Source organism: Homo sapiens, chromosome 19, assembly GCF_000001405.40.
Source record: "Homo sapiens chromosome 19, GRCh38.p14 Primary Assembly".
Lineage (NCBI taxonomy): Eukaryota > Metazoa > Chordata > Mammalia > Primates > Hominidae > Homo > Homo sapiens.
The window spans coordinates 53593766-53608624 of NC_000019.10; the positions used below are offsets into that span (position 1 = coordinate 53593766).

The 14859-nt window shown below is 50.5% G+C and overlaps 1 protein-coding gene and 2 pseudogenes across 4 annotated transcripts in view, besides 3 other annotated features; 1 reads left to right on the plus strand and 2 right to left on the minus strand.

Annotated features, from left to right (window-relative positions):
* Positions 924-1855: an enhancer, noted in NCBI's record as "OCT4-NANOG-H3K27ac-H3K4me1 hESC enhancer chr19:54097943-54098874 (GRCh37/hg19 assembly coordinates)". NCBI's record gives its function as "activates a minimal SCP1, AML or CMV promoter by ChIP-STARR-seq in naive and primed H9 embryonic stem cells {active_cell/tissue: H9 hESC(naive and primed)}" and the evidence as "EXISTENCE:reporter gene assay evidence [ECO:0000049][PMID:30033119]".
* Positions 1856-2785: an enhancer, noted in NCBI's record as "OCT4-NANOG-H3K27ac-H3K4me1 hESC enhancer chr19:54098875-54099804 (GRCh37/hg19 assembly coordinates)". NCBI's record gives its function as "activates a minimal SCP1, AML or CMV promoter by ChIP-STARR-seq in primed H9 embryonic stem cells {active_cell/tissue: H9 hESC(primed)}" and the evidence as "EXISTENCE:reporter gene assay evidence [ECO:0000049][PMID:30033119]".
* LOC284379 (solute carrier family 7 member 3 pseudogene) lies at positions 5866-9732 on the minus strand (annotated as a pseudogene). Its single transcript, NR_002938.3, has 4 exons — positions 9587-9732; positions 8232-8398; positions 7500-7607; positions 5866-6669 (listed from the first exon to the last, which is right to left on the minus strand). The product of NR_002938.3 is annotated as a solute carrier family 7 member 3 pseudogene (transcript).
* Positions 7349-14859, plus strand: part of DPRX (divergent-paired related homeobox) — a 35901-nt gene continuing 28390 nt past the window's right edge. The window contains exon 1 of one of the 3 annotated variants that reach the window (XM_047438893.1): positions 7349-7627. The gene's annotated coding sequence lies outside the window, so the exon portion shown is untranslated. Of the gene's footprint in view, positions 7628-13243; positions 13320-14859 lie in introns of those variants that run through there. The other 2 variants (XM_011527011.4, XM_011527012.3) reach the window with 2 other exon arrangements.
* Positions 12300-12827: an enhancer, noted in NCBI's record as "H3K4me1 hESC enhancer chr19:54109319-54109846 (GRCh37/hg19 assembly coordinates)". NCBI's record gives its function as "activates a minimal SCP1, AML or CMV promoter by ChIP-STARR-seq in naive H9 embryonic stem cells {active_cell/tissue: H9 hESC(naive)}" and the evidence as "EXISTENCE:reporter gene assay evidence [ECO:0000049][PMID:30033119]".
* On the minus strand, positions 12369-13291 carry LOC100422610 (solute carrier family 7 member 3 pseudogene; annotated as a pseudogene).

Consider the following 14859-nt stretch of genomic DNA (forward strand, 5'->3'; position numbering starts at 1 on the left):
ATTACAGGCGTGAGCCACCAAGCCTGGCCACTGTACTGCTTTTTTTTTTTTTTTTTTTTTTTTTTTTGAGATGGAGTCTCGCTCCGTCACCCAGACTTGAGTACGGTGGCACGACTTCGGCTCACTGCAACCTCCGCCTTCGGGATTCAAGTGATTATCCTGCCTCAGCCTCCCGAGCAGCTGGGATTACAGGTACATACCACCACACCTGGCTAATTTTTGTATTTTTAGTCGAGACAGGGTTTCACCATGTTGGCCAGGCTGGTCTCGAACTTCTGACCTCAAGTGATCCACCCACCTTGTGGCTCCCAAAGGGCTAGGATTACAGGCATGGGCCACATCACCCAGCCAGCACACTGCACTGTTTCCCAGGACCACAGTGTGGTGGAGAGCCTCGGGAAACGCCTGTTTCGTGGCTCTCTATGGAGTGGTTTTGGAGCTGCACATGGTCACTCAGCCTGGTCCAGGGAGATTTAGGGCTCACCTGGCCTCTCATATGGTGGCACTGCTGCTTCATGTAAGAGGGGCACCACCTCTGGGGCTGTGCAGGTGTGTGTTGTGGTGGTGGCCAGCTGGCTGGGCCCAACCTCAGGCCCTGAGGGAAGTGGTCGGGTACCAGCAGTGCTGGAATGGGGTGGGCAGTACCCCAATTCCCTGAGCCCTAGATGGCCCACTGGAATGCATGGATGAGTGAGTCCCATTGGGACTGGAATGGAGGTGGGGCTAGAGCAGCGTCCAGTGCTGACTCTGATGGTGGGGTACGGGCTGGTCCCCTGCTCACTGGCCAACTCTCCAGCGGGTGCAGGCAGAGTACTCCGGCGGTGGGAGCCTGGGGGGTGATCCCAGGCCTGTCGGATAGGGTTGGCAGACGGGCACTCTCTGGGTCACAGCTGAAACACCTGGGGAGTGTGGGGGTGGGCACCGGAAGCCAGGAGGTGGCAAGCCCCTCTGGGCAGGGAGCCTGTGGTAGACAGTCTGGAGCCATGGGAAAGTTGGGGCCCCAGCCTGAGGGCAGCAGTGGCAGGACCGCAGTGGCAGCCACCACGGAGGGCCTGTCAGTTACCTCTGGGAGTTTCCTGCCAGAGGAATGTGGAGGCCACCGACCAGGGTGCTGAGGCCAGGGTGGGTCAGCTGTGCTGGGGGCCCAAGCCGGTCAGCCTGGCCTGGCAAGGAGCAGCGGAGGCAAGGCCTGAAGCCCATCCATCCCCTCCTCAGTGCGATCCTAGTGTAACTTCGCCAGGGGTCCTTTCCACCCTCTGCATAAAGACAGACCAGGGCATGGCAGGAGAGAAAGAGTTTGACAGACACGAGGCCGGTCATGCCACGTGGGAGATGGAGTTCATACTCAAACCATCCAAGGCTCACAGGTTAGGTTTTCAAAGGCAGTTTGGAGGAAGTAAAATCAAAGGCAACTTGGAAGGGGTTGGGGGGGGGGTCCCCAGGTTACAGATGCTTGCTACTGATTGGTTGGGGCAGAGATGAACTCCTAGGCCTCCTGGGGGCCAATTCGCATTTAAGTGGGGCCACCGGAGCGGCATTGTTGGTCCAGGTGCAGCCGAGGGTGTCAGACATGCAAAAAACCTGGAAAGGTATCTCAAAAACCAACTGGGGAAGCTGTTTATCTTACAACTTCTGGAACGTCAGCGCCTTAGCTGGATTCAGGTTCCTTTCACTGCCTCAGCCTGATGGGCTCCTATTAGCTTTACAAAAGCAGTTGAGTTTGCAGTAAAGCCTATTATCATTTAAACTGTAGCCTAAATGTCTTCCAAAATTAGCTTGGCCCAACAGCCCAGGATTAATTGAGGGTGAGTTAGCTTAGTTTACTATTCGCATTTTCTCACTGACAGAACTTTCGTACAGGCGGCTTCACTAGCAGGCGGACAAAGAGCCTGGCCTTCCTTGTTGCTGGGGCTGTGGCAGCTGACAACAGGGTGCTCATGGGGTGTGCAGGGATCCAAGGCCTGTGGGGCTCCGCACGGGCTTGAACGGTGCTCTGCGGAGACTCCAGGCTGCCTCCATGTTGCTCTGGAAGCTCAGGGGGTCAGGGGGGCTCTTCTCCGCCCAGGATTGCAAAGGATTGTGTTAGAAGTGTGGGTCCCTGGCCGGGCATGGTGGCTCACATCTGCAATCCCAGCACTTTGGGAGGCCAAGGCAGGTGGATCACCCGAGGTCAGGAGTTCAAGACCATCCTGGCCAACGTGGCGAAACCCCCTTCACTAAAAATACAAAAGATTACCCGGGCGTGGTGGCGAGCGCCTGTAATCTCAGCTACTCGGGAGGCTGAGGCAGGAGAATCGCTTGAATCCGGGAGGCAGAGGCTGCTGTGAGCCAAGATCACACCACTGCACTCCAGCCTGGACGACAAGAGTGAGACTCCATTTCAAAGGAAAAAAAAGTGTGGGACCCCCAGGGACTCTCACTCTTACCCTTTCTCTGCATCAGGGAGCTTCCCCCAACTCCGCTGCAATCCCAGGAGGGCAGCTGCCCAACCTTGCCTGTTCTCCAAGTCCCACCGCAGCCCTGGTGAATCCCAGCATGGTGTTCTGGTCTATGCCCTTGAAGACCGGGCAGTTACCCTGTTTCCTCTCCATGAAAGCAGCGCACTGGGGGGAGGGGGGAGGGATAGCATTGGGAGAGATACCTAATGCTAGATGACGAGTTAGTGGGTGCAGCGCACCAGTATGGCACATGTATACATATGTAACTAACCTGCACATTGTGCACATGTACCCTAAAACTTAAAGTATAATAATAATAATAATAAAAAAGCAGCGCACACTAGCTGCGTCCACCAGCCATCATGAACTGCAACCCACAATCACATTTGTTAATAGTAAAATATTTTCATACTTTATTTTATTTGTATATTTTATATTAAGTTAATATTTTATTTTTATAATGATTATATGTTAATGTTTTCTATTGATTAATGTTAATATTTTGGGTATTAGAATGTGGGTATTTTGGGTTAGAATTTCAAGTTATTTTTGCTTTTTTTTTGAGAAGAGTCTCACTCTGTCACCCAGGCTGGAGTGCAGTGGCGCGATCTCGGCTCACTGCAAGTTCTGCCTCCTGGGTTCACGCCATTCTCCCGCCTCAGCCTCTGGAGTAGCTGGGACTACAGGTGCCTGCCACCATGCCCGGCTAATTTTGTTTTTGTATTTTAGTTTCACCGTGTTAGCCAGGATGGTCTTGATCTCCTGAACTCGTGATTCGCCCGCCTCGGCCTCCCAAAGTGCTTGGATTACAGGCGTGAGCCACCGCGCCCGGCCTATCTTTGCTTTTTTAATGTGGCTACTAGAAATATTAAAATTACATACTTGGCCGGGCGCGGTGGCTCAGGCCTGTAATTCCAGCACTTTAGGAAGCTGAGGCGGGCAGGTCGCCTGAGGGCAACCTGGCCAACATGTTGAAACTAAAAAATACAAAAATTAGCCGGGCGTGGTGGTGCATGCCTGTAATTCCAGCTATTCCGGAGGCTGAGCCAGGAGACCCCTTTGAGCCCAGGAGGCAGAGGTTGCAGTGAGCCAAGATTGCGCCACTGCATTCCAGCCTGGGCAAGAGCAAGACTGTCTCAAAAAAAAAAAAAAAAAAAGAAATTACATACTTGCTCTCATTGTATTTGTTTGGACAGCACCAGTTCTAGATACAAATGTGGCAGTATTTTTCAAAATCTTTTATTCTTGAGACAGAGTCTCGCTCTGTCACCCAAGCTGGAGTACAGTGGTGCAATCTCGGCTCAATGCAACCTCTACCTCCTGGGTTTAAGCGATTCTCCTGTCTCAGCCTCCTGAGTAGCTGGGATTACAGGCGTGTACCACCATGCCCAACTAATTTTTGTGATTTTAGTAGAGACGGATTTTCGCCATGTTGGCCAGGCTGGTCTGCAACTCCTGACTTCAGGTGATCCGCCCGCCTCGGCCTCCAGGGCTGGAACTATAGGCGTGAGCCACCGTGCCAGGCCAAAAATCTCTTAATGTCTATTCTTTGAGTCAACATTTCCACTTATTACACTGCTTTTTGTTTTTTGTTTTTTGTTTTTGAGACAGAATCTAGCTCTGTCACCCAGGCTGGAGTGCAGTGGTGCAATTTCAGCTCACTGCAACCTCCACCTCCTGGGTTCAAGCAATTCTCTGCCTCAGCCTCCTGAGTAGCTGGGATTACAGGCGCCTGCCATCATGCCAGACTAATTTTTGTATTTTTAGTACAGACGGGGTTTCACCATCTTAGCCAGGCTGGTCTTGAACTCCTGACCTCATGATTCACCCACCTCAGTCTCCCAAAGTGCTGGGATTACAGGTGTGAGCCACCGTGCCCGGCCACACCATTTTTATAGCATTAATTTAACTTTCTTCCATGATGTAGATACATGGACATTGTCATTTACCCAAGGAACTTCCTGTTATATCCTCAGGATCTCCTTAGTAAAAATTACACTGATCAGACTTTCTATGCAGTATGTGGCAAAACTCATGAGGATATCGGAGGAACAATCTACCTTCTCTCTTTTGCCAGACTGGACTGACAGTCATTCAGCTATAATGTAGCAAGTGAACTAGACAACTGAAACTTTAAATAAGGACACAAAATGAGAGAGTTAAGTATTTTGACAAAAGTCTTAGGTGAAATCAAGCCAACTGCTCTGCAGGCAGGGACTTTAATGGTAAGACACATCCTGAGTAAACAGGTAGAATGCCGTTGCGCTTCAAGCCATGCCGGGAAACAGAAGAGGAGCCGAGGTCAGGAAAGATTGAGGGCATCTGTGGAATTCGCAATTTTACTCAGGATGTAAGGTTAAGTCTTGCTAAGAATGTGACTTTCAGTAAAGATCAGATACAAGTGTCCTAGAAGACGCCAGAGAAAATCTGTTTGAAGTAAACATGATGGCCGGGCACGCTGGCTCACGCCTGGAATCCCAGCACTTTTAGAGGCCAGAGGCAGGAGGATGGCTTCAGCTCAGGAGTTCAAGACCAGCCTCGGCAACAAGGTGAAACTCCATCTCTACTGTAAATACAAAAATTACCCTGGTGTGGTAGCGCATGCCTGTATTCCCAGCTACTCGGGAGGCTGAGGCAAGAGGATCACTTGAGGCCGGGAGTTCCAGACCGCACCTGGCTATTTTTTTTTTTTTTTGAGATGAATTTCACTCTTGTTGCCCAAGCTGGAGTGCAATGGTGCAATCTCAGCTCACTGCAACCTCTGCCTCTGGGTTCAAGCCTCAGTCTCCCGAGTAGCTGGGATTACAGGCACCTGCCACTGCGCCCCAGCTAATTTTTTGTATTTTTAGTAGAGACAGGGTTTCGCCACGTTGGCCAGACTGGTCTTGAACTCCTGACCTCAGATGATCCACCTGCCTTGGCCTCCCAAAGTGCTGGGATTACAGGCATGAGCCACCGCACCCGGCCATTTTAAATGTTTTTACCACAAAAAAAAAAAAAAATGGCACGTAAGGCTGGGTGTGGTGGCTCACGCCTGTAATCCCAGCACTTTGGGAGGCCGAGGCGGGCAGATCATGAGGTCAGGCATTCGAGACCAGCCTGACCGACATGGTGAAACCCCGTCTCTACTAAAAACACAAAAATTAGCCGGGAATGGTGGGGCACACCTGTAATCCCAGCTACTCAGGAGGCTGAGGCAGGAGAATTGCTTGAACCTGGGAGGCGGAGGTTGCAGTGAGCTGAGATCACACTACTGCACTCCAGTCTGGGCGACAGAGGGAGACTCCATCTCAAAAAAAAAAAAGGTATGTAAGGTAATGAATACGTTAATCAACCTGATTTAGCAATTCCACAATGTATACATATTTCCAAGCTTCATGTATACCATAAACATACACAATTTTAATACATATAATATATGCAATTGTACACCATAAACATAGACAACTTTTATTTGTCAATTTTTAAAAATGTAAGTTTTTAAAGTTATTTTGGCTGGGCACGGTGGCTCAGGCCTGTAATCTCAGCACTTTGGGAGGCCGAGGCAGGTGGATCACTTGAGGTCAGGAGTTCAAGACCAGCCTGGCCAACATGGTGAAACCTGGTCTCTACTAATAAAGAAAAATTAGCTGGGCACAGTGTCATGTGCCTGTAATTCCAGCTACTCTGGAGGCTCACACAGGGGAATCACTTGAACCCGGGAGGCGGAGGTTGCAGTGAGCCAAGATCATGCCACTGCACTCCAGACTGGGCAATAGAGCGAGACTCTGTCTCAAAAAGAAAAAAAATCAAATCAAATAAAGATATTTTGTTAAGCTGGGTATGATGGGGTACCTGTAGTCCCAGCTGCTTGGAAGACTGAGGCAGGAGGATCACTTGAGCCCAGGAGTTCAAGTTCCGCCTGGGCAACAGAGCAAGTCCTCACCTCTATAACAAACAAACAAACAAACAAACAAACAAACAACAAAATAAAGTTTTTTAAAAAGTGTTTGCTCACTGGCAATGCACAAGGGGCTTTAAGTGTATCCCACCTTCATGCTCCACAGAGCTTCACACTTTCCCTTCATCCAGAGGACACCTCCAGTGGACTGGACCATCCCTTTTCCGTGGTTAAACTAATTCAGCAAGGGACTAGGGATGTTTTCATGAGGAGTTTGGGAGCTTGACGCTGGTGGCTGTTGATTGTTCTCCAAGCTGTGTGGGATCCCATATCCAAAATACATAGCAAATCCTAGCAGGGAAATGAGACAATGAAAGGAAATGTAGTCACCCCTTCCCTTATAAATGCCCTATAGCGATTATACTGTGGTTTGTTTATTTGGAGGTTTTCTTGTTTCTTTTATTTAGAAATAGAGCTTCGCTCCATTGCCCAGGCTGGAGTGCAGTGGCATGATCATGGCTCACTGCAGCCTCGACCTCCTGGGTTCAAGCGATCCTCCCACCTCAGCCTTCAGAATAGATGTGACTACAGGCAGGTGCCACCGTGCCTGGCTAATTTTTTTTTTTTTTTTTTTTTTTTTTTGAGACAGCATCTCACTCTGTCACCCAGGCTGGAGTGCAGTGGCACAATCTCAGCTCCTGTCGCCTGCGCTGGAGTGCAATGGCATGATCTCGGCTCACCGCAAACTCTGCCTCCTGGGTTCAAGCAATTCTCATGCCTCAGCCTCCTGAGTAGGTGGGATTACAGGCGCCCGCCACCACGCCCGGCTACTTTTTTGTATTTTTAGTAGAGATGGGGTTTCACCATGTTGGCCAGGCTGTTCTTGAGCTCCTGATCTTAGGTGACCCACCTGCCTTGGCCCCCTGAAGTGCTGGGATTATAGGTGCGAGCCACTGCGTGCGGCCAGTTTTTTATTTTGGTAGAGGTGGAGTCTCGCCATGTTGCCCAGGCTGGTCTGGAGCTCCTGGTCTCAAGCGATGCTCCTGCCTTCATCTCCTGAGTAGCTGGGACTACAGGCACACCCCACACTGTTAGCCTGAGACAGCTATAGGGAAAGGTCGCAGGAAGAGTGTTGGGCTCAGACACCCAAGAGGCCTCTTTTTTTCCAGGAAGCCACTCACCAATCAACATCCAGACTCCACATTGGGCCCAGGTCTCAGTGGTCATCTGCATCATCAGGTAAACATGTGCAGAGATGCTGACCAGAGGAGAACAGGCAACAGGGGGACCTGCAGGCAAAGCGTTAACCGTGAGCACACCACGAACGTCTGCAAGGGACCCTTATTCCAAGGGGTGGGAAGGCCTCAGCTCTGTTGCAGTCGCATATTCAATGCCTATTCTTTTTTTTTTTTTTTTGAGACAGAGTCTTGCTGTGTCACCCAGGCTGGAGTGCAGTGGCGCGATCTCAGCTGAATGCAACATCCGCCTCCTGGGTTCAAGCGATTCTCCTGCCTCAGCCTCCTGAGTAGCTGGGATTACCGGCACACACCACCATGCCCGGCTAATTTTTGTATTTTTAGTAGAACCGGAATTTCACCATGTTGGTCAGGCTGGTCCCGAACTCCTCGCCTCAAGTGATCCACCCGCCTTGGCCTCCCAAAGTGCTGGGATTACAGGTGTGAGCCACCTCACCTGGCTCAATGCCTGTTCTGAGTAGGTATTCCATTGGGTGTTCTGGAAGAGACAGGTTTTGGGAAGTACTGATATGTGGGGGCTGGAGGGGGTGTCCATGAACAGTCCATTGGTTTTTCGCAACTGCCCTTTTTACCCCTGGTCCCGTAGAGTATTTAGAGCTTGAGGCATGCAGAGTCCACTGACTCAGGAGGGTGGTGTGGGGACATAAGGCCACCTACCTTGAAGTAAAGAGGAGTGTTGCTCTGGGGCTGTCTCCAGACGGTGAAAGTGAATCCCACAATGAGCACCAGCAGCAACACAGCCGCTGCGATGTAGATCAGCTCTCCAGAGAACAGGCGTTTGGGCCAATGGGCCAATACCAGGCATAGCATGGACAGCAGGACAACTGGAAAAGGGTCAAGGTTGGGGAGAACAGGTTCAACTTCAGAAGCTAAATAAGTGAAGATCTCGGGCCACATCCTATCCCCCAAACCATATATATGGGTATGGGTGTGTGTGTGTGTGTGTGTGTGTGTGTGTGTGTGTGTGTGTGTGCCAGCCTCCCAAGTAGGGACTACAGGCACGTGTCAGCACACCCAAATACTTTTTTTTTTTTTTTGAGATGCAGTTTCACTCTTGTTGCCCAGGATGGAGTGCAGTGGCACAATCTTGGCTCACTGCAACCTCTGCCTCCTGGGTTCAAGTGATTCTCCTGCCTCAGCCTCCCAAGTAGCTGGGATTACAGGTAACTGCCACCACACCCAGCTAATTTTTTGTATTTTTTTTTTTTTTTTGAGAAAAAGTCTTTCTCTGTTGCCCAGGCTGAAGTGCAGTGGCGTGATCTTGGCTCACTGGAAACTCGGCCTCTCCGGTTCAAATAATTCTCCTGCCTCAGTCTCCCCGAGTAGCTGGGATTACAGGCGTCTGCCACCGTGCTCGGCTAATTTTTGTATTTTTAGTAGAGATGGGGTTTCACCATGTTGGCCAGGCTGATCTCGAACTCCTGACCTTGTGATCCACTCCCCCCCGGCACCCGGCCTCCCAGAGTGCTGGGATTACAGGCGTGAGCCACTGTGCCTGACCTAATTTTTTGTATTTTTAGTAGAGATGGGGTTTCACCATGTTGGCCAGGCTGGTCTCAACTCCTCACCTCAAGTGATCCACTTGCCTCAGCCTTCTAAAGTGAGCCACCACACCCAGCCTAAACTTTTAATTTTATATATATATATTTGTGTGTGTATATGTATGTGTGTGTGTGTGTATATATGTGTGTGTGTGTGTATATATATATATGGCTTTTTGTTTGTTTTTTGAGATGGGATCTCGCCCCATTGCCCAGACTACAGTGCAGTGGTGTGGTCTTGATTCACTGAAGCCTCGACTGCCCAGGCTCAAGCAGTTGTCCCGCCTCAGCCTCCCAAAGTGCTGGGATTCCATGTGTAATCCACTGTGCCCGGCCAAAAGTGCGCCTACTAAGAAGGGCCACCACATCTTCACAACTCCTCTCAACTACCAAAGCCCCACACTCCCTACTCGGCCCCCTGCCGCATGCTATCAGGTTCAAAACACCCCGCGGAGAAACGCCACTGCTCACCAAGCAGAAAGGCACATCCATAGACGATGCGGCCCCATCTCGGGGTGGGGATGGTGCTGACAGGGCTCCACAGACTCGCCGGAGTGCTGGACGCTTCAGGAACACATGCTGGGGATTCTGCTTTGGGTACAGAATTCATCTCAACTACTTCCTCCTTCGGCTTCTCGTTCTTGCTGAAATTCTCGTCTGGCTGGTACCTGAATTAGAGAGAGTAGGGCAAGATTAACCCAGGTCCCTGTTCATCCAACATCAGAGAGCCTAATACACCCACGGTAGCTCCCACGTATCTGAGGTTTCATCTACCCGTATCCACTACAGTCCAAAAATAGTAAATGGAAAAGTCCAGCAGTAATTTGTAAGTTTTCTTTCTTTTTTTCCTTTTTTTCTTTTCTTTCTTTTTTTTTTTTTTTGAGACGGAGTCTCACTCTGTCACCCAGGCTGGATTGCAGTGGCACAATCTCAGCTCACTGCAACCACCCCCGCCTCCCAGGTTCAAGCAATCTCCTGCCTCGGCCTCCTGAGTAGCTGGGATTACAGGAGACCACCACCACGCCCAGCTAATTTTTCTATTTTTAGGACATACCAGGTTTCACCATGTTGGCCAGGCTGGTCTCAAACTCCTGACCTCAAGTGAGCCACCTGTCTCGGCCTCCCAAAGTTCTGGGATTACAGGCGTGAGCCACCGCGCCCCGCCGTAATTGATAAGTTTTCAATTGTGTGCAGCTTCAAGTAGCGGCATTCCACGCTGCCCATGCCCAGGATGTAAATCATCCTTTTGTCCAGTGTGTCCATGCTGTGAACGCTACCGGCCGTGTTAAGTCACATTAGGCAACTGAGTTATGGATGGGAAAATGATCATGTATAGGGACTGGTACTATCCGCGGTTTCGGGCATGTACTGGGGGTCTTGGAACGTGTCCCCCGTGGATAAGCAGGGGCTGTTGTACTCCTCCCACTCCTGTATGTGTAGCAATGCACCGAGGGGCCAGGAGGCAGGCAGAAGAGGGCTGGGAACCCCATCAATCCTCACGTGTCTAGGACCCCAGTCTCACCTGAGGACAAGAACAGAAAAAGCCACCAAGGAGTAAGCAAGCATAGTCCCGATGGACAAGAGGCTCACAAGGTCACTGAACTCAAACAGGAAAGCCATGATTGCTATAGTCAGGGCTCAAAACAGGGTGAGTTCCAATGTTCCACAGCACTAGAGGGTGACTGTCGTTAACAACTTATAAGAGCTGGAAAAGCACTTTGGAAGGCTAAGGTGAGCGGATCACCTGAGGTCAGGAGTTCAAGACCACCCTGGCCAACATGGTGAAACGTCATCTCTACTAAAAATACAAAAATTAGCTGGGTGTGGTAGCACATGCCTGTAATCCCAGCTACTCCGGAGGCTGAGGCAGGAGAATCGCGTGGACCTGGGAGGCGGAGGTTGCAGTGAGCTGAGATCGTGCCACTGCACTGCAGCCTGGGCTACAGAGCGAGACTCTGTCTCCAAAAAAAAAAAAAAAGAGCTGGAAAAATAGGTTTTCAGTGTTCCCAATGCAAGGAAATAATCAATGTTTGAAGTGATGGTTATGATATTACCTTGATTTGATTATTACATCTTGTATACATGTATGGAAATATCACACTGTACCCCACGAATATGTACAATTATTGTGTTAATTAATAATAGGAATGTGGCCAGGTGCAGGGGCTCATGCCTGTAATCTCAGCACTTAGGGAGGCCGAGGCAGGCGGACTGCTTGAGCCCAGAGGTTCCACATCAGCCTGGGCAACACAGACCCCCGCCTCTACAAAATTTGAATATTAGCCAGGTGTGGTGCCACTGTACACTGGCATGGGTAAGAGTGAGATCCTGTCTCAACAACAACAAAAGTCAGATTATGTACATTTTCTTTAATTTTTTTTTTTTAAACAGGAATCATCATACCTCCCTGCAGCCCTAACCTGCTGCGCTCAAGCCATCCTCCCACCTCAGCCTCCCGAGTAGCTGGGACTACAGGTGTACCACCACACCCAGCTAATTTTTTTTTTTTTTTTTGAGACGGAGTCTCGCTCTGTCGCTCAGGCTGGAGGGCAGTGGCGCGATCTTAGCTCACAGCAAGCTCCGCCTCCCACAGCCAACTAATTGTTAAAAATTTTTTTGCAGAGACAAAAAAATGATCTCAGGGTCTGGCTATGTTGCCCAGGCTGGTCTCAAACTCCTGGGCTCAAGTGATTCTGCCTTGGCCTCCCAAAGTACGGGGGTTACAGGCATCAGGCACTGCACCCCGCCCCATTTTCTATATTGTATTGTATTGTATTTATTTTAATTATTTTATTTTATTTTGAGACAGGGTCTTGCTTTGTCACCCAGGCTGGCGTGCAGTGGTGTGACCTCAGCTCACTGAAGCCTCAACCTCCTGGGCTCAAGCAATCCTCCCACTTGAGCCTCCCCAGTAGCTGGGACTACAGGCACGTTCCAGCATGCCTGGCTAACTTTTTTTTTAATTTTTGTTGAGATGGAAGTCTCCCTGTGTTGCCCAGGGTGGTCTTGAACTCCTGGGATCAAGCAATCCTCCCACCTCAGCCTCCCAAAGTGCTGGGGTTATAGGCGTGAGCCACTGAGCCTAGTCCCATTTTCCTGTTAAACTTTTTATTAAATAAACTTTTGTAATAGCCAACTTTTTAAAAAAATTGATGAATAATAATAAAAGCAAAAATGGATGGGCTGTGGGGGAGGATGAGGAACTAACTCATAGAAAATGGATGAAAGAAAGCCTGGATTCTGGGCCTTTACCTGCAAGGGTCCCAGCAACGACAGTGGCCACCACAGGGGTGCTGGTGTGGGCGTGGATCCGGGCGAGTCCGCAGAAAAGGAGCCTGTCCTCAGCCATTGACTAGAGCACGCGAGGCGTGGGGAACGTGGCACCCAGGAGGCTGCATGCAGGAGAAAACGGGAACACGCATGGGGACTCAGGAAGCAAGAGGGACTGGGGCTTCTGCTCTGTCGCCTCCGTGGGTGAAACGTCTCCTCCCTTTACCAAGGCCCAGGACACCCGAGAACCAGACAGCAGACAGGGAGAGAGCATCCAGCACTGACCTGGAGGAAAGGGCACAGAGGGTGCCGACGGCCACAGCATATCTGATGGGGGCCCATCCAATGTGGACAAAAGCCTCCGGCAAGGGGTTCTCGGGACATATCAGGTAGTAGGGGCACTATGAGGGTGAGCGCCGCTGAGACACCAAAATAGGCCAAGAAGCAGATGAAGATCGAGGTCACAGTGCCCAAGGGGATGGAGCGGTGAGGGTGGAGGCGGTGAGGGTGGAGGGCTTCTTCTCCTGCGGGACAGGTATATGCACCGGGCGGTGAGGGTGGAGGGCTTCTTCTCCTGCGGGACAGGTATATGCACCGGGCGGTGAGGGTGGAGGGCTTCTTCTCCTGCAGGACAGGTATACGCACTGGGCCAGGAAAATGCACGGAAGTGAAGGTACAAAACCCTCTTCCCTCTTCCCCATCTGAGAACAGGGTAGCCTTTAATGAAACCTGTGCCCAGCGGCAGCCCAAACAGTGCCCAAACCCCCGATGAGACAGAATGACCGTGTTACCTGTGGTGGCAATGCCATCAAAACCCACAAATGCAAAGAAACACGTGGCCGCTCCATGGAGAATCACGCCAAAGCCAAAAGGCACAAACCCTCCAGAGCCCAGGGAGCCCGAGCTACGGGGACAGAAGGAACAAGAAACATTGGTAAGGTGTGCAGCCGTCTTTCTGGGACGACTCAGTTAACTCCAACTGCTCAGTTAATTCCACAAGCCCGGGGCCCCCACTGCCATCCCCACTCCCCATCATCTGGCTCCGTCAACCCAGATTCCCCCTATTCCCACAATAGTCCAGGTTCTGCACCCCAGGCCCCACTCCTGTGTCCAAGAGGGCACCTCTGGCCAGTTGCAATGGCTCACGCCTATAATCCCAGCACTTTGGGAGGCTGAGTCAGGTGGATCACTTGAGCCCAGAGGTTGAGACCAGCCTGGGCAACATGGCAAAACCCCATCTCTACAAAAATTTAAAAACTTAGCTAGGTGTGGTGGTGCACACCTCTAGTCCTAGCTACTCTAGATGATTGCTTGAGCCTGGGAGGTAGAGGCTGCAGTGAGCCATGATCGTGCTACTGCACTCCAGCCTGAGGGACAGAGCAAGACCCTGTTTCAAAAAATAAAAATAAGTTTTAGGCTGGGAGCAGTGAGTGGTTCACACCTGTAATCCCAGCACTTTGAGAGGCCAAGGTGGGCAGATCACCTGAGGTCAGGAGTTTGAGACCAGCCTGGCCAACATGGTGAAACCCCGTCTCTACCAAAAAAAAAAAAAAACCAAATTGGCCGGGTGTGGTGGCACGCACCTGTAATCCCAGGTGGCTGAAGCAGGAGAATCGCTTGAACCCGGGAGGCAGAGGTTGCAGTGAGCTGAAATTGTGCGACCGAAATTTGGCCTGGGCGACAGAGTGAGACTCCATCTCAAAAAATAAAAATAAAGGTAAATTTGAAAATAAAAAAACAGGCCAGGCACAGTGGGTCACACCTGAAATCCTAGCACTTTGGGAGTCAGAGGTGGACAGATCAATGGAGGTCAGGAGTTCGAGACCAGCCTGGCCAACGTGGTAAAACCCCATCTCTATTAAAAATACAAAAATTAGCCGAGCATGGTGGCAGGTACCTGTAATCCCAGCTACTCGGAGGCTGAGGCAGGAGAATCGCTTGAACCCGGGAGGCAGAGGTTGCATGAGCCGAGATCGTGCCACTGCACTCCAGCCTGGGTGACAGAGTGAGACTCCATCTCAAAAAAAAAAAGTAAATAAATAAATAAATAAAAATAAATAAAAATTAAAATTAAAATTAAAAAATAAAAAAAAATAAAATAAACCTGTGCCCTCACCTGTGGGTGTCGTTGGACCACCCCAGCTCGGCCCATTTGTAGTCGGCGTCTGTGAGCTGCCAGTTGTGCAGATCTCCCTTGATGAAGCCGGAGAAGATGACGCAGCTCAGAACCAAAAGGTTCACACCTGTGAAGACTTTGGAACCCCAGGCTGACTCCCGAGCTCCCAGAGCCAGCAGTCCTGTGGGAAACATGGAATATCCAGAATAAATAAACCCACAGAGACAGAAGGCAGATCCGTGGTTGCCAGGAGCCAAAGGGAATGGGGAACGACCGCCTAAAGGGTGCAGGGTTTCCCGCAGGGGTGATGAAAACGTTTCCCAATTAGATGGAAGTGGCAGCTGCACAATGCCGTGGA